Source organism: Homo sapiens, chromosome X, assembly GCF_000001405.40.
Source record: "Homo sapiens chromosome X, GRCh38.p14 Primary Assembly".
Classification (NCBI taxonomy): domain Eukaryota; kingdom Metazoa; phylum Chordata; class Mammalia; order Primates; family Hominidae; genus Homo; species Homo sapiens.
The window spans coordinates 74,732,524-74,756,283 of record NC_000023.11 but is presented as its reverse complement, the minus strand read 5'-3'; the positions used below and the strand labels follow the sequence as shown (position 1 = coordinate 74,756,283).

Genomic DNA, 23,760 nt, shown 5'->3' with positions numbered 1-23,760 from the left:
TACCCACAAAAATTAAAAATTTAGGCCAGGTGCGGTGGCTCACGCCTGTAATCCCAGCACTACGGGAGGCCGAGGCGGGCGGATCACGAGATCAGGAGTTGGAGACCAGCCTGACCAACATGGTGAAACCCCGTCTCTACAAAAATACAAAAATTAGTCGGGTATGGTGGATCACGAGATCAGGAGTTGGAGACCAGCCTGACCAACATGGTGAAACCCCGTCTCTACAAAAATACAAAAATTAGTCGGGTATGGTGGCACGTGCCTGTAATCCCAGCTACTCAGGAGGCTGAGGCAGGAGAATCACTGGAACCCAGGAGGCAGAGGTTGCAGTGAGCGTGACTGCACTCCAGCCTGGATGACAGAGTGAGACTCCATCTCAAAAAAAAAATTTTTAATTTAAAATTTACCCCAGTGGAGTTCACTTACTGATGGAGGATGCCTGAGTCCTTTGACCTTTGGCAGTGACAGGTCTTCTGGCTGTGAAAAGGTCTAAGCATTTATCAGCCTATCAGTTTGAGCATGACTGCTGGGCTCCACTACAAGCATATCTGCAAAAGGAGTGTGATGAGGGTGGGATCTGAAACAGTAGTTTTACCACTTGGCATGGATTGCCTAGCAGTTGTGTACTTAGTGAAAGCAAGTCCAGAGTTAAGTGGGAAGTGCACTTATCTTCATGGAGTGATCAGAGATGGATTTATTTATTTATTTATTTTTCCTGTAGGGCCCAAGCCTGTGAACCAAAGGGATTTTTTTTTTCTTGGTGAAAGAAATTCACGTTGAACCAATATCTAGAAGACCTATCTGGGGATCAACAAGGCTAGGAGAATATTTTGAAAGTAAAATCAAAATACAGAAATAAATATTTGAGCCAATCTAAGACTTGTCCCACTGAGAGATACCTGCTTTGCCAAGTACATGCCTACCTCTCTAAGATTGTAAGTGCTTTGAGGCTACAGCTTGTGTTTCTCACTTCTGTTTTCCTCATGGCATAGTCTAACATATAAAACAGGTATTTAATAAATGTGAAAAAACTTAACATACATCCACACCCATGTGACAGTCCCAGCCTTCCAGCAAGCTGTTTGTATTTTGTTTCCACATAGCCAAGAGAGGTAAGGAAGTGGAGTGCTCAAGTAAGCCCCAGATTCACAGACCTTCTTCAGTGTTGAACTATGCTGTTCTTCACTGCTTAGAATATAGAAAGGGTATCACTGTTTCAAGTACACATGTTAGGATGGCCTGGGAACTACCCTGATATTAAGAAGGAAGGCCAGAGATTTTATGGATGGTAAAACTGAGGCTCCCAGTTACCTGTAACAGCTACCTCAGTATCTCATGGGAAAACTACAGTGGGACCAAGATTGTTTCCTGGGCCAGGACAGTAGTATCACTTTTTTTAATGGGATGTTTTGTATTTGAGTATGCATTGTCTTCAATTTACTTGGAACCATTTATGCATTATTCTTGTGTACTTACCTAAAAATATCTGATCTGTAGGGAAATGAATAGATAGTTCTATAATTCTTAGGGGTTCTGAAATATAGTAATTAATTTGATGTTTATCTCTTTATGGTCTTGTTTTCTGCTTTGGAAGTTAGAATGAAGTCAGAAATGAGTAAAAGAAAACTATGATCACTTGGAATTTTATATATGTATATATATGAAGAAAAAGAAGGCTGGGTGCGGTGACTCACGCCTGTAATCCTAGCACTTTGGGAGGCCGAGGTGGGTGGATCACAAGGTCAGGAGTTCAAGACCAGCCTGGCCAAGATGGTGAAACTCCATCTCTACTAAAAATACAAAAATTAGCCAGGCGTGGTGTCAGGCGCCTGTAATCTCAGTTACTCAGGAGGCTGAGGCAGGAGAATCACTTGAACCCAGGTGGCAGAGGTTGCAGTGAGCCGAGATCGCACCACTACACTCCAGCCTGGGTGATAGAGTGAGACTCCGTCTCACAAAAAAAAAAAATAAAAAAATAAAAATAAAAAAAGAGAAAGAAAAGAAAAAGAAAGAAAGTTGGGCCAGGCACAGTGGCTCACGCCTGTAATCCCAGCACTTTGGGAAGCTGAGGTGGGCAGATCATCTGAGGTCAGAAGTTCAAGACCAGCCTGGCCAACATGGTGAAACCCCATCTCTACTAAAAATACAAAAATGAGCCGGGTGTGGTGGTGCATGCCTGTAGTCCCAGCTACTCGGGAGGCTGAGGCAGGAGAATCACCTGAACCCTGGAGGCCGAGGTTGCAGTGAGCTGAGATCACACCACTGCACTCCAGCCTGGGCGACAGAGCGAGACTCCATCTCAAAAAATAAAAAATAAAGAAACTTTTGTACTTGTCATGGTATCCCTAGTCCCTCTATTCTCCCCCCAAAATTTCAAATGGTATCTTAACTGGTCATTATTAAATAGCTGAATTTATTTTAGCACTTCCAAAGAATTCCCAGCTTTTTTCATCTTCCAACTTCCAGTCCTTTATATTGCATCCTGCTTCCATGATGGAAGAAGAAAGTCACCATAATTTTTTTGAGTGTACATGAATGTCCTGTGTGTGTGTGTGTGTGTGTGTGCGTGTGTGTGTGTAAGGAGGAAATGTGTTGCTTGGGTGGGTATGCCTTGGGGTGACAATACAGAGCTCTAGAACCAGAGGCTGGAAGAGCAGTGCCTACTTCTCAGATGGATTTTGGCTTTATCTCTACTTTTCACTTCTCCTCTTGGGATAAGTAAGAACAGCTTTCTTATTTCTGACAGCATTTCCTCCAATAAAGACAAACAAAAAGTTAGTAGCCCTCTGATTAGTGGTTATTTTTATTGATAACTTACATTCCACTTGGTAAGTAACTTGGTGCTATGGGGATATTTCTGGACTAGAAGGCAACATACATCCCACATCCAAGAATGTGTATGTGTTACCAAATCACTATGTAACACTGGCAAGTAGTTTCCCCTTTCTGGGACTTGGTTACCCCACTTGTAAAATGGGGAGTTTGGGATGAGACTATCTTCCAAGATCCTTCCAGCCCTGTGGTTTAGTGATTACATTTCTGAAAAGAATGTAATAACATTTTTTAAAATGCAGTTAACAGGATAAATTAGTAATAAGAAAATAGATTAGAAACCATATGGAGAAAGTCAAAAGATAATTTAGCCTAAAGTTATTGCGCTCAAGCATTAAATGTAACTCAGTGCTGCCTGGCAACAAAAGCACTCTTTGATTAGGATATAGTCCTTATATAAATGCATTCTCAGAAAGGGCCAGGCTATAGTGGTGTGGTTCTTCAGAGGACTCGCCATCTTCCACACACAAATGGGTCTTCCAGGTTGATCTCTCTGTTCCTAATATACCATTATACTGCCCATTTGGATCTAGAGTCAAGGAGAAAGTGACTGTCTTTAGAAAGAAATACCCCACCTGAGAAACAGTGATTATACTCTTCTGTCACTCTTTCCTCAGATTTGAGAAAGAAAGCAGGCAGAAGTCCTGAAAATAAAATTCTTTCACAAAGGCAAAGGGACTCAGATGTGTCAGTGAAGTTGAGCTACCTATAGTTATAAGGTTTAAAAGTTAAGACTAGTGAGGAGGCTGGCTATTCTTGACTTGAACCTAATAGTGCCTCTGCTTGTTCTTTCTACCCCTAATTCCAGTCTTAATGAATATTGTTTCCTGGCATTTGTATAGTGCTTTAATATATACAGTGCATTTGTACATGCTTTCTCATTGATTCATCGTCTTATGCACCTACTCTTCTTGAAAATTTCTTTAGAGTGATGTCACAAAAAATGGTACAGATAAAACCGGTACAGAGAGAAAGAAAAGGGAAGGGAGACCCAAATGTTGAGGCACTGAGCTAGGACACAAATGCAGCCACTATCACTTCTGCCTAGGAACATGATGGCAAAGAGGGTCCCTCTTAGATTGGTGGCTGCCAAAAATGAAGGCAGGTGATACATACGGAGCCCTGTCGCCGCCAGCAGCACCCTACTTGCTACCCCTGACAGGATTGGGGTATGTGTGTATAAAAATCAGAGGCATACAGGAAAGGACATGAGATGGAAGGGATTAAAGAGTTCCCTCAGGCTCATCTCAGTATCACACAAAACTTAAATCAGAATTTATTCTTGCATGTCAATTTTTTGTAGTACATGTAATTAGTTTCAATTTTTAAAGACGAAAAAATAGGCTGGGCATAGTGGCTCATGCCTGTAATCCTAGCACTTTGGGAGGCCGAGACAGCCGGATCACCTGAGGTCACAAGTTCCAGACCAGACTGGCCAACATGGCGAAACCCCGCCTCTACTAAAAATACAAAAATTAGCTTAGGAGGATAAGGCAGGAGAACCGCTTGTACCTGGGAGGCAGAGGTTGCAGTGAAGCAAGATCGCGCTGTTGCACTCCAGCCTTGGGGATAGAGCGAGACTCTGGAAAGGAAGGAAGGAAGGAGGGAAGGAAGGGAAGGAAGGGAAGGAAGGGAGGAGGGAGGGAGGGAAGGAAAGAAGAGGGAGGGAGGGAAGGAAAGAAGAGGAAGGGAAGGAAGGAAGGAAGAAAAGAGGGAGGGAGGGAAGGAAGGAAGGAAAGGAAGGAAGGAAGGAAGAAAAGAGGGAGGGAGGGAGGGAAGGAAGGAAGGAAAGGAAGGAAGGAAGGAAGGAAGGAAGGAAGGAAGGGCGTGATGGTAGCCTGTAATCACAGCTACTCGAGAGGCTGAGTGGCAGGCGGAGGTTGCAGTGAGCCGAGATCATGCCACTGCACTCCAGCCTGGGTGACAAAGCCAGACTCTGTTTCAAAAAAAAAAAAAGAGAGAGAGACAGAGAGAAGAAAGAAGCAAGAAAGAAAGAGACAAAAATTAAATGAATTCTAGATTGTTAGGAACTAAAAGAACCCTTAGATATAATCTAGTTTTTCTCCCTTATTGTATAGCTAGTAAAACTAAGTACCAGAGAAGGGAGGGAGCTTGTCTGAGGACACCTAGCTAATGATCGTACTCTGTCCATTATACAGTATCCCCTCTTCTATATGAGTTTTTTGTGCATATCTTTTGAATTTTGGAATTTTTTTTTTGAGACAGAGTCTCACTTTGTCCTCCAGGCTTAAGTGCAGTGGCACGATCTTGGCTCACTGTGGCTTCAACCTCCCGGGTTCAAGCAATCCTCCTGCCTCAGCCCACCAAGTGGCTGGGACTACAGGCACGTGCCACCATGCCCGGCTAATGTTTTTGTATTTTTTGTAGAGACGGGGTTTCCCCATGTTGCCCAGGCTGGTCTCAAACTTCTGAGCTCAAGCAATTCGCCCACCTCAGCCTCCCAAAGTGCTAGGATTACAGGTGTGAACCACCACGCCCAGCCAGAATTTTGGAATCTTTATCATGAGAGAGGAAATATTTAATAGAGTCATACCATACTTTTGAGATATATAGAATTCTTTACAGTGTAGCTGTAGTAATCTCTTCTTGATGTCTTTCTCACCCTTAATATTGTTAAAACTTGTATCGTTGCTCATTTAAGCATGTTTCCTGTACTTAACATCATCATACCTCCGTATTTCTAGCTTAGGGTCTTAAAATCCTGATAGATATCTGAAAATAGAATTAGCCAAGCAGAGTTATGGATTAGAATGTGCTCCCTGTACTGTTGCTGATTCTGCCATCCATTATTCTGACTAAAGCTAGACTGGGAAGAATCAGACTAGACAGAGCTAGCTGGGCTAGCTTGGAAAACTGTCTGTGGGCCTATTTGCTATAGCAGTACCATCTCCTTGCTTCATTACAGTCCCTAACCCAACCTGAAGATTCCCCATCTGTAACAGCTTGCTTGTCAGTTGCTTTCTTTCCAGTGTGACAGCTAAGGTCCTGGTCAGCTTCATTAGACATGTTGTACCTGATAATGGGTCTTCATACTGGCCTTGCTTTATTCCCAAGAAGATCCTGGCACCGATATTTCTGAGACTACCCTGGTCTGGAATCCAACCACCCATGATTCTTCTTTCACAGTCATCTATTAACTCTTTGATCTGTCTTTTCTCTCTATATTCTGACTACTGCTCCCTTACCTGTCACATCTAAATCATCTTTCAGGTCTATACAGCACACCTATGTAGTTCTACTTACATCTAACATCTCCTTTCCATTCCTATTTCCTCCTCCTGAATTCTAATCTTTTTGACATCTCACACCTGAACATTTTTTCCTATCTTCCCCCCCTCTGTCTCTCCCACTTTCACTGGTCCTAATATTCTTCACTACTCAAAACCCTTCAGCATCTTCCTGAATTACAATTTAGTTGGCCTCCACAGTATATTTCAGTTTATCTTTCCACTATATTTTCTTGTTTGTACCTATTTCAGCCAAACATTATTCCCTAAATTCTCTCCCATCTTTTCCTACCATTCAACATCATTGTTTAACCAGTTTTTATAAAGTACATACCATGTTATAAGCACTATGTGAGCTAGGCCCTGTGGAGTTGGGGGTGTTGGTGCTTAGTCTTTTGGGGGTATCAGATATAAAGTAGTAAAGCTTGTATAAGATGATAAACACAGAGGAGATAAAAATTCTTTGAGAATACAGAGAATGACAGAGACTAATTTTGTTTGGAGTGGGGAATCAAGGAATGTGTCAAGGAAAAACTGAGAAGGGAAGAGTACAGAGAGGTGAAAGGGAGGTTGGGAAAGGGGAAGGGAAGGAATGGGAAAAGGGGACAGAGATTCCAAACAGAGAGAATATCAAGTGCAAGACACAGGGAAGCAAAAACAAATGGTTTAATATTAAGGGAGTGGAGAGGGTTAGAATATTTAGGAACATAGGGGGAAGTGAACAGAATGAAAAGAGGATACAACTGGAGAAGGTGAGGATTGATTGAGGAGAGTGTTTTGCAAAGCAAAACAAAGTTTTAAGGTACCTTGTCAACTTGCTATGATTCTATAGCAGTTGTTTAGAAGATAGACTGGAGTGGGAGGGAGACTTGTAGCATTTCATGAAGGTCCTTCTGCCTGGAATACTTTTCTCTCCGCTGAACTTCCCCATCCTCACCTCCAGAAAGGTCATCCTTCAAGGTTCACCTTAATGTTGCTGCTTTTAGTGAAGCCTTCCCAAATCTCCCGCCTCTCTAGAATTCTAGAATTGGAGTAATTTCCCTCCATTTGGGATTCCCATAGCAACTTTCTGCCCCTCTTTCAGTGTATTATACTTACAATTTGTTTGTAGCTTGCTTTCCCCCTCTAGACTCTGAGCATCTTGAGAACAGAGATCTAGCCTCATTTATCTGTCTTTTCTATGCTGTACTTGATAGAATACTGTGATCACAGGTAGTACTAATAATTTTGATGAATTGATTTAAACTGGTATCCCAGAGATTGGCACTACTCAAACTCCAAAGGCTATATTGCCCCAGACCCATAGACAAAAACAGGACTTACTTTCTTGCCTTGATTTTTTTCACCAGTTGGGAAAAGCCAAGGACATCCTCAACACAAATGTTGGTGTGGGTCACCTAGACTCTGAGACCTTAGACTTCAAGGCCGCTGGGGAAGAGGATAGCAGCCTACAGGATCTATGAGCCTTTCTCAAGCCCAGCTGAGGGGAAGGGCAGATAGGAGGGATTGCTTTTCCAGTCTAATGGAGCATTTCCTTGCTTCAAAATACCATCTCCATGCTAATGTTATTTTAATGCCATTACACTGTGTAATTTACTGTGATCAGCAAAGCAATTTGTTGTACATTCTTCCAAAAGTGTTAATCAATTTTAGCTCAAAATAGATTTTAAAACCCCACCTAATTTACTGTCCTAAAATGCTGATCAGTGGGGGAAAGCTAAAGCAAGCCCAGAGTTGTTTGTATTGTAACTGTAAGAAATTATAATTCCTCCCCAAAATTATTTTTATAAGCAGCCAAGGTATAAGTAAATAGGTATGTAGAAAAATATATACCTTTAGTTGTCCTGTTTATAGCTGAGATTTGAAAAATCATAGGAAAGGACTAAAGGATTGTCTGCTCAAGGTCTAGCCTACTAATTCTGGAGAACAAAGGCCCAAATTATTGATAATCACTAAGTTAATATCTGTGATACTCAGTTTTCCCTTTTCAAAAAAAGTTATAGACTCTAATAGAACCAAACTTATGAGGTAATTAATTATACATCCAACCTCCCATGTCCCCACTCTACCTCTTCTTTATCTTTTGCCAAAGTGTATCTCCTCTCTGTTCTCAACCTTATAAGATTCCCTTTACTTCAGAGTCATAAATCTTGGGTGCTTGGCCAGATTTTTCCATTAGAGGCAATTTATGTTCTTAGGGAAATAACATCCCAGAGTAAAGTTACAGCAGCACTAATATGTCCCCTGACATAGTGTTCTTGTCCTGCCTGAAAAGACTGGATAATTGGCTAGACACAGTTGCTCATGCCTGTAATCCAGCACTTCAGGAGGCTGAGGCAGTTGGATCGCTTGAGATCAGGAGTTCAAGATCAGCCTGGCCAACATGGCGAAATCCCATCTCTACTAAAAATACAAAAATTAGCTGGGCATGGTGGTGCGTGCCTGTTAATTCCAGTTACTTGGGAGGCTGAGACACGAGAATCGCTTGAACTCTGGAAGGGCCACTGCCCTCCACCTGGGTGATGGAATGAGACTCTGTCTCAAAAAAAAAAAAAAAAGTTTGGATAATTGTTGATACTTAAATGTATTGTTCCTATATATATTTCATGGTACATTAATTTTTACTGATAACAGATGCTTATCTGTGGCAGCTGTTCTGTATTTTCCTACCTGAAAGGGTATAGAAGTATAGATCAGTAACATGTGGAAACTTGTATTTGTCTAGCCCTGTTTTAGTCAGGGGTTGGAGTTGGTAAGAATCATGGAGATGGCATTTTGTGTTTTAAGAAAAAACACCTAGTCTCTTGGTCAGGAAACTTGGGGGGTTTTTTTCATAGATCTCTCATTGTGTTGTTTTACAACCTTGGCTGTCATAGTCTCTCTTTCCATACCTTGGACTTCCTGGTGATAAAAATGGACTTGCTTGTAGTTAACTATAGACATAAGGGATAAGAAGACATTAAATTATTGAAATCTAAAAGTAATTTGCCCCTTATCAAGTTCCTGCCAAGATGGACTTAGTGGAGGGGCAAAAGAGGGGTAAATGATACCTGAAGTTCTACTGAACTCCAAAACAAAAATGCACAGAGTAATCCATGATGGCAATATGATTCCATCTGATTTATAGGGTCGTCTTTGAAGCAGAGGCAGCTATCCAATCTGTTCATTCAGTTCTACTACAAATGAGCCCTCCTTGACAAAGGGTGGGGACTTGGACATTGCTATCCACTCCTCTCCATCTTTTAAAACTCTCCAGCCCTTTTCTGTGTAAATACAAGTAAGCATATATTTTCTCTTTTCCCTGGCACCCATGGTTTATTGCCTATGCATCAAATCAGATCTCATATAAAATGAGAAGAAAATGTGGCAATTCTAATATATAAGTGTTAGGGGAAACCCAGAGTCATCTAACATTTTTAAAACTGAGAGACTGCCTAATACAGTCTTTGTATTTTATAGATAAGGGAATAGGCCCAGATGGGTAAAATATTTTATAGATTGAATCACGTGGAACTGTTACTGCTTCCTGTTTCTCAATGCTGAACCTACTTTTTAGAGTATATTGCATGCATTAGGATAAATGACTATACAATTGAGATTCTTATAATAGCTGCTTGACTATCAATACCATATGCTTTTTAATAAAGGGATAGATACTCAGTTGGGGAGAAGGTCTAGGGACAGGGGGAGGGCTAGATGTTGTAGTGGCATGTGGCAGATACCCCCATCTCATCTCCTATCATTTTGCACATAAATACCACTCAGGTAGGTGGGCAGGAGATGAAGGGCTACAGATAGATATATGTCCTATGACCTAAAAATATCAGATGATGCTGGGGCCTTTTCAGAAAATCTAATCTTCTTTGTAGTCACATTTTTTAAAAATTTGCTGTGAGTTTGGAGGAATACTTGTCAAAGTCCAAGTTAAAGTCCTGGAAGTCGAGAAACCAAGGAATTCTCTACCTTCTTCATCCTTAGCAGTCAAATTTTAAGGCACAGAAAGAGAAAATCTGAATATGATGTATATGTGTGTATGTATATGAATTGCCTTGTTTTTGAAGAGCATCTGATCATTTGAAATAGAAATGAGGCAAACAAAAATAAAGTTAATTGCCACACACAAACACACATACAAACACACCTTATCTCAGGTTAGTCTTGTCTTTGCTTTGTGTCCTTCTTAATCAGGCAACCATGATTAGGTTAAATGCATTACTATTTGGAGGAAGGGATACGTTTGTCTGCTTCCTTGGATTTCAGTTTTGAATAATATTGTGGCACAGAGGTGATAGAAGGATCTAGGATGTATGAATGAGTGTGAGTTTCCAAACTGACTTTATGTGGTAGGTATAAATTGTGAAACAAAAACAATAGCAGTGATGAAGTCAATCTGGAAACAGGTAAATCCCAGTGAGCCTTTTAAGACCCCTCTAGCTGAAATAACCTATAAAACACAAAATAAAACAAATTTAATGACTGATATTATATATTTGAAATGTGCAGGTTGGACAGCATTTGGACTTGGAATGAAACAATAAGAGGTTATATTCATGGATAACCAACAAGATAAGGCTATTGTTGCCTCAGCCAACGGAGAAAACACTCTGATTAATGGGGTCAAAGAAAATGGTAAGGGAATTTAATTATAGTATATTAATATCTCTCCTGGTAGTCCTCTGTTATTACTATGGATTTTCAGTACCCACAAAGTTGGGACAGGTTGAGTCCAGGATGCCTCTGAAATGAATGTTAATTGTAAACTTTATTCCACCAAATATCTAACTTGGCTATAAGAGTCTCTAAGAGGCATTGAATCTGACCACTTTGCCCTCCCAAATCATATCTGCCAGATGAAGATCCTCAAAATTCCTAGTGAATTAGAAATATGCTGTGATGTGAGGCTTAGAACTTCTAGAGTGGCCGGGCGCAGTGGCTCATGCCTGTAATCCCAGTACTTTGGGAGGCCGAGGTGGGCAGATCATTTGAGGTCAGGAGTTCGAGACCAGACTGGCCAACATGGTGAAACCCCATCTCTGCCAAAAATATAAAAAATTAGCCGGGTGTGGTGGCAGGTGCCTGTAATCCCAGCTACTCGGGAGGCTGAGGCATGAGAATCACTTGAACCCAGGAGATGGAGATTGCAGGGAGCCGAGATCACGCCACTGCATTTCAGCCTGGGCAATAGAGCAAGACTCAAAAACAAGAAAGAAAGAGAGAGAGGGAGAGAGGGAGAGAGAGGGAGGAGAGAGAAGAGAGAGAGAGAGAGAGAGGAGAGAGAGAAGAGAGAGAGAGAGAGAGAGAGAAAAGAAAAGAAAAGGAACTTGTAGAGTCACTAGGAGCTTCCAGAACATGGATCTGGAGGACAGGCCTGAGCCTCGTAGCTCAAAAGTATTAATGTTCCATCTGAGCATTTTCCCCTTGAAAGCCTTGACTTTCCAATTGATCAAGCAGTCCAATTCTTTTCTCATTTCTGAGGAGAGCTTTGCCTTTTTCTGAGGAAGAAACTCGGCCTAAATAATTATTATTTTTCATTTGCATGAATGTTCAATATAAAATCAGCGTTGTTCTTTAACGTTGTAGTTTTTATTTGTAAAGATAGAGATGTGAAGGCTTAGCTTATATAATAAGATCAAGTACCAGAAACTGATCAAGGGAAAGAGAGTTAATGAGTCTGGTCTAAGACTCTTAATTTTATTCCTGTCATTTCTTTCCCTTTTTTCTAGACTCAGAGGACCAGGATGTGGCAATGAAGTCATTTGCAGCTCTAGAAGCTGCTGCACCTATCCAGCCTACACCGGTGGCACAAAAAGAGACCCTGATGTATCCCAGAGGTCTCCTGCCTCTACCCTCTAAGAAGCCCTGTATGCAGAGCCCGCCCTCTCCTTTGGGCCTGATTGAAGCACCCGAACATGCTGCTAATAGTGCTTCTGTGAATGCCATCTCCCTCACATCTGGCATTGCAAAAGGCCTGAACACATGGTCACTTCCCAATGAATGTGAGAAAGCTCCATTTGCCATAATGGAGCCTGCAGGCATGTCAGCTCTGAATGGGGACTGTCTCATGCAGCCAAGTCGGACTTGCTTAGGCTGCTTCATGGAATCCAAGGATGCAGTAGATCCTGAGCCAGGGATCAGTCTGAAAGTTGGTGATCTAAATAGGGATTATGAAACGTGTGCAGTCTCTGATATAGGGATTCAGTGTATTAATGCTGGAGAAAATATGAAATATGGAGAGCAGCTGCTCTCAGACCAGCTCCTAGGCTTCCCCCTGCATAAGTCAAGGGCAGGAGACAGACGAGAAACTGAGAAACCTGACATTGACTTGGAGGATCCGGCTCAGAAAAGCTATTATGAGGCATTACTGTTAGACAAGTGCAATACAGAAGAAGCTTTGCTTGCAAATTCCAATCAGGATTGGGGTTACTTCGAGACTTTTATTAGTGAAAGTAAGATTGAACTGCTTGACCTCTGTTCCAAAAATGAGCTGTCTGTCAACCTATTCTCTGAAGAAGATGTGGATAACTACATGTTTGATGATGATGAATCAACACTAGGCAGTGATGTCTGCTCCCTGAAAATTCGATATGAATCCTTTCAGGACAATGTTCGAGACAAGACTACTCTTTTGATGCAGGAAGATGCCCAATTCAACTTTTTTCCCAGCGTCTTTACTACCTGCCCCAAGCGAGAGTCTAAGAGTGGGGCCCTGAAGCAGAGCAGTGATTTTTCCCAATTCAAGGTCCCTGATGTGAGCATCATCTGGGGGGAGGAAGATAAAAACTTGGACAAGAAGAAAGGCAAAGAGGAAGGACAGGAAGACAAAGGTGTAGAGAAGAAAGATGGAAAGGATAATGGAGAAAAGCCTGCCTTAAATAAACCATGCAGTGGGACTGAAGTAGAGCAACTTAAGAATCCAAAGCAGGGCCATCTTGCTAATTCCCTGGAGACATCAGGGAGTTTCAGTGATGATAGTTCCTTCATTGAGATCTCATATGATGCTATGGGTGAGATCAAGGACTGTAGTCGCTATATGGCTCGGGACACTAATTCTGGCAGCTCCTCCTCCCAACAGAACTATGGGCTGCGAGCCAAGAGAAAAGTCAGATACAGTGAAGATTATCTATATGATGTTGACTCACTAGAGGGTGAAAAAGTAAATGAGAGGAAGGAATGGCTGCCAGTTGGTTCCAAAGAGGAAGATGATGATGAATGGTGTCCCAAAAAGAGAAGAAAAGTAACCCGTAAGGAGCCCCCTGTTATTATCAAATATATCATCATTAATCGCTTTAAAGGTGAGAAGAACATGCTGGTGAAGTTGGGTAAGGTGGATGCCAGTGAGACAACAGTGAATTTGAGTGAGAATCAGCTCAACAAATATGCCAAGCTGGCACCCTTGAAAGGCTTCTGGCAAAAGAAGAAGAAGCAGAGAAACACCAACACGGACTCCATCAAGACACCTTTTTCCCAAAAGCAAAGCTTTGAACCAGGTAGCTTTGAGGTGTCATTTCTGCCACCTGCTCGCAAACGAAAATCTAAACTTGGCAACAGGCACAGGATTCAAAGAATCCCATCCATTGAAATTTCAGCAAGTAGTAAACAGATTTCATTATGTAATGATCAGAGGCACGCTAGTAATCATAAAGAAGATGGAGGCCTAAAAGGTACACTGAAGTCAGCACCTCTGGGTGCTCCTAGCTGTGCAAATGGATCACATTTAAATGACATCACAGGCCCTGACTCAGTGAAAGTCAAAGCCCAAGACACAGAGTTTAAGGGGCCAGAGAGGAAAGTGCTCAATAAAATCAAATTTAAAAGTGAAGCTAGGTTAAAATCTAAGAAAGTCAAAGCTGCTGGGCAAGAAAGCAAGCCAATTGTTCAAATGAGCCCTCTCTTGGAAAACCAATCCTCAAAGGCTAATTTAAAGAATGAAGTTATTCCTGGGACATCAAACAGTTCCCGTCTATCTGAATTTCATGAGGCAAAGGCTGCTAAGAGTTCCACTTTTCTACCAACGACATGCTCTTCTGAAATGCCTTTATCATCTGCTAATGTTACCACTAATATACCTGTTATCCCGGGAGGGTATCTGCAGACATTGTTAGATGCTTCTGACTTGTCAAATAACACTAGTATCTCATACTTCAGCCACCATTCTCCAGAGCAAAATGAAGGCAGCCTCACTCAAACCGAAAAATCATTTGTACCCCTCCAGCCTACCCAGGACTGTGTGCTCACCTCATCCTCTGACTCTGAGCTGCAGCAGTCATCTCATAACTTCAAAATGGAATCAAGCAACTATAGAAATGTGTGGCCCAACAAGGCTACTTCTGGCACCCAGGAATTCATGGCTGAAGTCTCAAGGGAGATAGCCCCAACCCAATCCAGTGAATTTGGAGCCTCCCAAGTAGTCTCCATGGAAAATAACCTCACACCTACAACATACAATCCAATCTGTCTCAATAGTGGTGGCAGTAATTGCAACAAGGTCCTGTATGACTCCATGCAAGATACCCAACTCCCATCTGATGACTCTTACCAATTATGTCACTTTAATAATGGAGAGATCTGCTTTCCTTTCCAGCAGGGGCCAGTCAATATGGATGATGGTCGGCTCTTTAGCTTTGATTCAATGGCCCCACTCTCTGTCAGCTCAAGTAATTATTGCTCCTTAAGCTTGAAGTCCTGTGAAAAGGATGGCGATGATGATATCACTGATGACTTCCTGGCCCATTGCAGCCCTAAGCTGGTGATCCAGCAAAGCATTGATGAGATAGCACCACTAAAGGAGTCCACTGACCTCCTGGATATATCCAACTTCACCCCTGACAAATTCCGCCACTCTTCCCTTTCAGAGATGTCCCCACCGGACACCCCTAGTCTTTCCCCTCAAATTACCAGATGTGAGAGTATGAAGACACTAGGAACACTAAAGGGGTTCCAAGAGGGTGTCCCAGGACCATTGGACAGTGTGGAAAAAATCAAGTGGGACTGCAGTACCCTTTCACGGCAGGTCCAAATGGAGGATGGATTTACTTTAAATAATCACCAGTTTCAGTTCCATATGTTCAATGATGAGGATTCTGTCAGCCTGCTCCAAAAAAACCCTTGCCTGTCAACATTTAATGATCCATCTGGTCAAATTAGTACCAACAACAAAGTGTCAAAATCAAGAAAGAAAAGTTCACCCAGCAAGAGTGGGGCTATGAACCAAAGCTCTTCTCAGAAAAACACCAGGAAAAAATCCCTCAAAGGTAACAACAAGGGGATTGAAAAACCACCTGGCAAAAACTCCCGCCAGGTCCCTAAGTCCACAAAGAAAGGGAAATACATGGCTGCCATCAATGGAGAGAAAATGCAAATTGGCATTGGCCGTGGGGGAAGCCAAACCAACACCATATCCTCCACTGGGAAGACATTGGCTGAATGTATCCAACATGGTGGCCCTATGGCCTCTATGAAGATGCCAAGTCAAAAGGGACTTTCTGGAGATTGGGCCTTGGGGAAGGAGAGCAGCCCAGGCTGGAGTGATATGAGCATGGGCACCAACACCAACAGCCTTCTGGATGATGACCAACGGGAATTTCAGGAGCCTTCCTATATCTTGTCCAACATTGCCTCTGGTATGGCAGATGTGCAGAGATTCATGATGGCCTCCATAGAGCCCCTTTGGGAACCCATGGAGCACCATGGGGATCCCAACATATTCTACTCCCCTGAGTCCAATAGTCTAAAATTAAAAACCCTCAAAATATTGGCTGGGACACCACAGGAGTCTAAGAAAAAGATCAACAGTGGGTCCCAAGGAGCCACTAAGAATCACAGGTCAATCAAGGGTGTGAGCAAAAGCAATGGGAAAACAGCAATAGGTGATCCTGGTCGTGCAAACATGCCTGGTTATAACGAGGACTCTCGCTCTACCTTCTTTGATAAAAAGTATAGTAACATGAGCACTTTAGGCAATAACGGACCGACACACAAAAAGTTGTATCGTCACAAATCCAGCTCCAAGGCCCTGAGAGATGAGAAATGTAAGGGAAAGCACATGGAGCGAGAACAGGTCCACAAGGATGAGTCTGGGACAGCTTCTTTTGAAAAACTGAGGTAATACTGCACCAGTATGGCTGAGATGATGCACCCTTAGCTCTCCTACTACCTACTAAGCCCGCAGTCCCTCATTTTTTCCCTCTTGAAAGCAAAAATTTGCATGAAAGAAACTGTCCCATTCCCTTCTTTTTCAAAGTAAAAAGAAAATTTTAAAGTGCATGAAAATCCCTATACCTTTAAGCCACCCAAAAGATTGGGCAATTTTGTTGTGGCTTGGCTAGGGATAAGCTCTAACAAAGCTATTTCTTCTTCTGCTATTCATCACTAGTTACTACATATTAAGAAAATAGAATTAAAATATGCTCTTGAATGATTTTTGGAAGTGAAAGGCTTTGCAGTAAGACAGATTTTGAAAAATAGAATTTAAAAGTCATGTAGACAAAAAGCCAAGATCATTTAAACAAAAGAGCATTAGCTGGAAAACAAAATCTGAACATGTGGCAAATAGGAGGGCTTTCTAGTGCCCCATGCTATTTGTATCTTTTTCTACATCATACGGCATCTAGTATGATGTTAACAAATTTAGCTTGTATGATCCCTTTGTGGGACATACACTAAAACTAACTCAGATGGCATAAATTGTTTGATTTTTCTGCAGGGATTCCGACTACAATCTCCTAAAAGCAGAAACAACCTTTTGGGTTTTACCTGTGTTTGAAGAAGAGACTCGCATTTTCCAGAAAGACATTTGATGTTTGTGTTTTATTTCTTTCAAAATATGCCTTGTGGTATGTATGTTGACATGTAAGTGCTTAAAGAAAAGAATTTTAAATTGTGGGAATACGTCTTTGGAGCAAACTTTAATCTCATGTTCTATGTAAAAGACTTAAAAAGTCATACAGTTGCACAAGTAGTTTATGCACTATTTACCCACAAGGAAAAAATTGAAAACATTGTGCCAAACTACAAACAAGTGACTGTACTGTATATATTTTTACTTCTATATCAACATTTGGTTGTATTTGGGGAAGTTGTCCCTGTTAATTTACTAGAAACATTCCAGTGATTCTTGCTATTAACCACCCCCACTTATGTGGATAGCACCTGTAGATCATGGTGGAAAAATATGTTGTGTTACACAATTTACCAAAATTAAAGGATACTGTTTGAAATGTGCCAAATTTTCTTACCTCATCTCACAGATTCACCCACAGTTTAAAGCTCATTAATTATTTTTAAATGGATATATACACACCCAAACATATATATGTATATGTTTGTGTGTGTGTGTGTGTGTGTATATATATGTATATATATATATACACACACACACGTTCTTTTAAAGTTTTAGACTCTACTGTCCTGTGTGGAAACATGAACAGCTAAACAAGGCAAAATAAAGATTTTCTTGTTCCATTGTGTAAGGGTTAAAATTTTGGAAAAGTCTGAAGGCCACAACAGCTAAGTCCATCAGGGACCCAAGTATATGCATTTACAGAACGTTTTACAAGGAAACAAAACAGCTGCTTTCAAAGTTTGTTTTCTAAAAGCAAAATCTGTAGCTGAAAATTATTTAAAGTGCAAAGTTATATTGCTGATACTTTATATCTCAGTTTTATATATTTTATAATAGTCTGGGATAAATTATAAAAATAGCTATAAAATCAACACTAATGATAAATGAAGTATATAGAATGCTTTTATTTAAATAGTTTCCTAAATGTTTTATTCCAGTTTTGTCAAAAGTGCACTCATATCATGGCTTTAGTGTTCTTTCAGTGTTTAATCTTGCAATGCCAATGTCATTTAAAGAAAATGTTAAGGCATCCCAGTTCAACCAAATTTTTCTTCTTATGAGTAAAGTACATTTACTATCAGATAAGATGAACAATTTGTGGCAACAACTGATTTGGGCCATATACCCTTAGTCTGAGGATAACCAATATTTGATGCCACACACTAAACTTAAATCTCAATTTTAAGTACAAATTTTTAAATCACATTTTTTATTCAGTACTCCCCCTACTTTTTAAAAAAAATTTCACAGCCCCAACATTCCTCACTACTACTTTTTCTTCCCTTTTATTCACCACTTGACTTCTAACATTTGATCTCTTTTCTTTGCACAATTGAAGGCCTGTGCATCTGATGACTGATGCATTATGGCACAGATGAGATAATGGATGTGAGAGCGCTTTGTAGATCATAAAGTGCTATACAGATATAGGGGATTAATATTATTAATATTGTTAGTTGTTGTCGTTGTTACTATTCTTATTAATATTGTTACTAACCTATTAACTTGTGAATATATAGGCTGGGGTGGGAGGGTGGAGAATAAGTGGGAAGGGAAAAAGGGGATTTAACAAAAAAAGGGAAGATGTTTCAAAAGGAAAATTTTAAGCAAAATATGAACCTACCTAGTCAATGCCACCTAAATGTATTCACAAACAGAGAAGCAACATTTGAAAGTAGTCAGAGAGAAATGGAAGGAAGCCTGTCATGTATATAAGTATATACACTTCCCGGTCCATGATTCCTTTCACCAGCCTGCTCTATTCCTTACAGCTGGGTCGTAAAATGAACAAGCCTGTGTTCTTGATCATGTGTGTTCCCAGCGTCAGTCTCTTGTGTCTGTGGGGATGAGTGGGTGAGGAGCATTCTGTGAGGCTGGTACAGGCCCATTCCTAGGCTTTAATGCTCTGTTTGCAGTGAGCCCTGGAAAATTACTTAGTGGAAAGGCACCAGATGAAACATGTCTCCTGCCCCATAGCTACCATTCAAAAGGGAAAATAACCAAACTGGAAAACCTTCTTCTATTTCTCTATTCTGATAGCTAGCTGTACTAAATGCTATGGCCAGTCCCTAGAAACTGGTCTTTGTTTTGTTTTTGTTTTTGTTTTTGATTTTTCTGTTTTGCAGCTGAATTTTGGCTTGGAATCACCAACTCTGCCTGTATTGTGATCCCCAAGACTCCAGACCTCAGAGTCACCTGCTGGCTTAGAGGAGTGGAGTGCTTTCTATGTAATGAAAAGGTGGCAATTAATGAAAAAATAAAGAAAATGTTCCATTAATACAATGTGTTTTTATAAAAGTAAATATGGGAGCAGTTGTCCCAGTTTTTTTTCGGTATCAGTTCAGCTTTGGAGAATGGGGTGTGAGTGGGGTAGGACAGCCTGAAACTGTTGGAAACAATTTCCTTGTGAGAACTTGCTATCATAAGTCCTTTGGAATGGATATTCTTTCAGTTGCTCCTATGGAGCCCATTAAGGGCCAATTCTAGGGCATAGTTCATCCCTTTCTCCAAAGAGAATTGTTATTTTAAAGTACCTTTTTAATTGGCCTGCAGTGTATTATATGTTTTTAATATATAAATTAGTGACGCATAACCAGTCACTTTGTACTGAAACATAAAAAGAAACAGAGTTTGAGAAATGAGCAATAGGCCGAGGCAGAAGATGTTTATTCTCTTAATTGCATTTAATATTCCTCTCAGTACATTGTGTTCTGAGATGTTCATCATTTAGCATTTTGTTGGTCCTGTCTCTGCTCTCACAGTTCTTTTTCTTCCTGTCATAACCAGCTGCCTTAGTAGAGTATAAAAATAGTGTTTTGCCCTATCACTGGTATCTCAAGTCAGAAATATATATTATCCTTGGTCTGAAATTCCTGATTACCGCTCCCTTCTAACCTTCCCCCTCTGAGAAGCTGTTTCCTATTAATGCCTCCCTAACAGAGTCCCATTTAATCTTTACTTTCCTGGAAATGGTAACCTCCCTTATTCTTCTTACTTAATCTCAGACCTTGGTCTTAGAATTTTTCTTTTATGGTCTCATATCCCACCTGCCCAAATTGTCAGGGCTCAACAATCTTAGGCTGCTTTCTTCTGGAAGTTCAGAAGGAAACCTTCCCATTCTTAATTGCCTTTAATTGCTTTGGCTATTTTCAAATCTAATTTTTTAATTAAATTTTTTTTAATTTTTATAGAGTAGGGGTACAAGGACAGTTGTGTTACATGGATATATTGCTTAGTGTTGAAATCTGGGCTTTTAGTGTACCCATCACCGAAATAGTGTACATTGTACCCAATAGGTGGTATTTCATCCCTCAAATATAATTTTAAACACACACTCGTGCCCACATGGACAAATTATATCACATGACTGAGGAAACTTAGAAATTCCTTTTCCCTGAAGATCTGTTAAGAATAGGTCTCATCTCCTGCCCTGGTTAGGTGCTATATTATATGGAGAAGGGTATTGAGACTTTGGGGGTCATGTTTGGGCTGTGATAACTGGCTTGAACCAGTGACCATCCTTTCTGCCTCGCCAAGGTCTCTTATACCAGCTTCTTCACATATGCTGCTTCCTCCCAGCTTTCCCTTCTGACTTCTTGTTACTCTGCAACTATGTGTCAAGGCCTTACCTTTTCCTGATGTTTTCAAACCTCCTGCATTACTTTGATCATCACTTCTTCAGCCATCTCACTGAAGTCCTTGGTGCTAGCTGGGCTTTTGTGACAACTTTCACCTTCTCTGAACTTTTTCCTTGCTGGGAAGCATCTGCGTGTGTGAGGGGGCTACGGAGGGAAGTGTGTGTGTGTGTAAGAGAGAGGCAAAAGGATGCTTCAAAAGCTATAAACAACTCTAGCAAGCATCCTAAGTCCTATGTGAGGTTTTGCAGTTCTAGTGAATTTCTGTTTTAGTAGGTTTCAATTAGCATTTACTGCCTAAAGGAGAAAAACCATATCCAAGGACCTTTTAGCCATGCTTGCTATTACCAAGCTGGACCAGTGTGATGTAGATCCAACATGTCTTCAGCTTACAGATGCTCTCAGAACAGTTCCAAGAATTGAAGAGAGCTAAGTTTTTATGCTGAAGAGGAGAATGGAGCACTAGCTAGTCCTAACTATTGCTAGAAATAGAAATGTTTATTTTCTCCTTTATTATTGAGAAATTATCTAATTTAAGGAGTAACCATTTTCATTTAGGGATTTTTTTAATGACTGCCCATCACTACAGAAATATGTTCTTTTTATAAAATAAAACTAATGTGAGGTTGGTTTGTTTTCTAATCATAAAATTCACTAAGCCTATAGTTACATTTAGAAGATTTAGTACCAAAATCAAACTTTTAGTAACAAACAGGAATCTTGTCAACACAATGTAGGCCAGGGATTTTGTAAAGGTTTCTCAAAGACCCAAATAAGGGAGAAAAAAATTTTAGTTGGGCTGTTTAACTTGGGAAACACTGTCATCAGCTTGAGGGTCCTCAGCCAGCATGTGATTATTTTGATGACAGGACTCAGGCTACCCTTTAAGGCACATTTTTTACTCAGCATTAAACACTAGCTACAGTCGTGAAGCAGAGCTCCCATTGCAGCTACATACTTGAGATGTACTCTTGGTTTCAGAATCGTAACTAAGAGGTAAGGCATTGGAGAAGGACAATGTAAAAGACAGAGGTTTAGAACAAAGTTTATGGTGTGAATGAGGCTTTCAAAATCAGTATCTGGGTAAATTGATACTAAAGACACTGAAGAAACACTCATCCACATAAGATGGAAAGGATGTCTGTCCATCTAACAAGCTCAGGGGTTTCTGAGTCTCAGAATGACATCCCATTTCAAAAAGAAGAAAAGAGATATTGAAATCATTCTGCCTGTTTGAGAGATGACTGGTTATTTACAGCACAAAAAAAGGCTTAGAATGAAAACTAGAAGAGGCCTTTTGTTTTTCACTCCCAGTGAGGAGAGTAGAAATCTTAAGATGCTCTACTGGGCTACCTGTAGCACTGACTGGAGTTTGCTGCCTACAGAGTTTTGAATGTACTAGTCCTTAGTTTCCATAGAACTGAATGCACCTCTTTAGTAAGTTGCTGATTTATGGTGCTAAAGAAAATGATTATTCCCATTTTTTTCTTCTTCCCCAAGCCCCTTAAGCATTTAAGAAAATTTAAAATAAAAGCGTTAGAGGCCCTTTTTATGAATGTAACCTAAGTTTCTGTTTGACATATGACACTGCAACTTAAAAATGTTAGGAAATTATTTGCCTTTTTTTTTCTTTTAGAGTTAAGCTTTATAAATAATCTGTAGAATCAATTGAAGTTTAAAGCTTAAGGATCACTCTTAAGACGTCTACAAAATCTTGTATATTTTTAAGTGTGCCAATTTGTAACATATTTTGTAAGTGTATATTTTTCTTAGAAAAGTGCTGTGAAGTGTCTGTATGTGAGAGTTTTCCTTTTTCTGCACCACTAGGTGCTAATAAAAGGATATTTACTTCAAAGTTTCTGGTTTTAGAAACCACAATACAAAGAAAAAAAATACACTTTTGTTGGAAATTTTGTAACACAAAACATGTTGTGAAAGAGTGTAGTGATCTTGTGCAAAAAAAATGAACATTTGTGAGCTTCTTGCTGTTTTATAGATTTTCTTGTAAATTATTCTTGTAACACTTCTGGTTTTGTTGTTCTTGTTGCGAAGGTTTCAAATATTTGTGACTGAATGTACGGTGAAACTGTCATAATGTTACCTAGCTGAGTTTTGTTATTGTTTATGAAATAAATAAAAAGAAAAGTTTAAAATACTGCTTTAGAATCATATGTATTAGAAATCAAACCATTTCTAATTAAATCTATGTCCCAAATAAAACGTTCTTTATCATCTAGAGCAGTGTTTCTCAAACTATCTGTGGTGAGGGACCAATAGTTTTTGCAATCCATCACAGACCAATACTATTATAAAACACAACAAAAATGAATTTCTAAGAAAGTTAAATGGAAAAAAGATATGCAAAATAAAAGCCCAAATGTATTAGATTTAACATGTAAAATTACATTTCGAGATAAACATAACATAAGGGGAAAGAAACGAATTGCAAAAAGTTGGTACCCTGTTTGAGACAAGTCCACTCATCAATGTCAAATTGCCATAGAAGGTTCTAATCATACTTTGAATAATACTTTGACTAGACCAGCAGCATTGCCATCATCTGGGAACTTGTTAGGAATGCGAAATTCCAAGCCCTACACCAATTCTGCTGAATGAGAATCTGAATTTTAACAAGATCCCTAGGTGTTTTGTGTGCATGTTAAAGTTTGAGAAGCACTGGGCTAGAGTTTTGTGTAGGGGATTCTTTTGCCCCTCAAATTGAGGAATCATCTTCTAGTGTGTCCAGTCTTCAAAGACCTTAAAACAAATTGTGTCTTTGTTTTGTGATCCAGATGGAATCTGCAGAGATGCAGTCCTCTCAAAGTGTTAAAGCTGTTTATTGAAAGTAATAAATGCTGATTTGCCTGGTACCCAAAAGATGTCAGATTTTCCATAATTCCCTACAGTTCCTACATCATGTTACTTACCACTCACTCATGAACCTTGTTTCCTTTATTCAGGACTTTCCCGAACTCAGTCCCTACAGTACCCAGTATTTCAAAGTATTTGCTATGTCTAGAAAAATTGAACTTTGTTTTCAATTGCCCAAACTGTTTGAGTCACCCATCAGCCTGGAGTGTTGGCTAACCATAGCAAGATCATTGAGGCACACGTGAGCCAACAGTCACTTCTTTGGTTTTGAACACCACCGCTCAAAGAAATTGAAAAGTGTGCATGAGGAAATGTCTCTCTTCTCACTGGA

The 23,760-nt window shown here is 40.2% G+C and overlaps 1 protein-coding gene across 1 annotated transcript in view; it reads left to right on the top strand.

Annotated features, from left to right (window-relative positions):
* Positions 1–23,428, top strand: part of NEXMIF (neurite extension and migration factor) — a 192,597-nt gene extending 169,169 nt beyond the window's left edge. Inside the window, exons 2-4 of the mRNA NM_001008537.3 lie at positions 10,587–10,712; positions 11,807–16,184; positions 16,786–23,428. Of these exons, the coding sequence (NP_001008537.1) occupies positions 10,634–10,712; positions 11,807–16,184; positions 16,786–16,879 (4,551 nt within the window). The 5' untranslated portion in view covers positions 10,587–10,633 and the 3' untranslated portion in view covers positions 16,880–23,428. The remainder of the gene's footprint in view (positions 1–10,586; positions 10,713–11,806; positions 16,185–16,785) is intronic.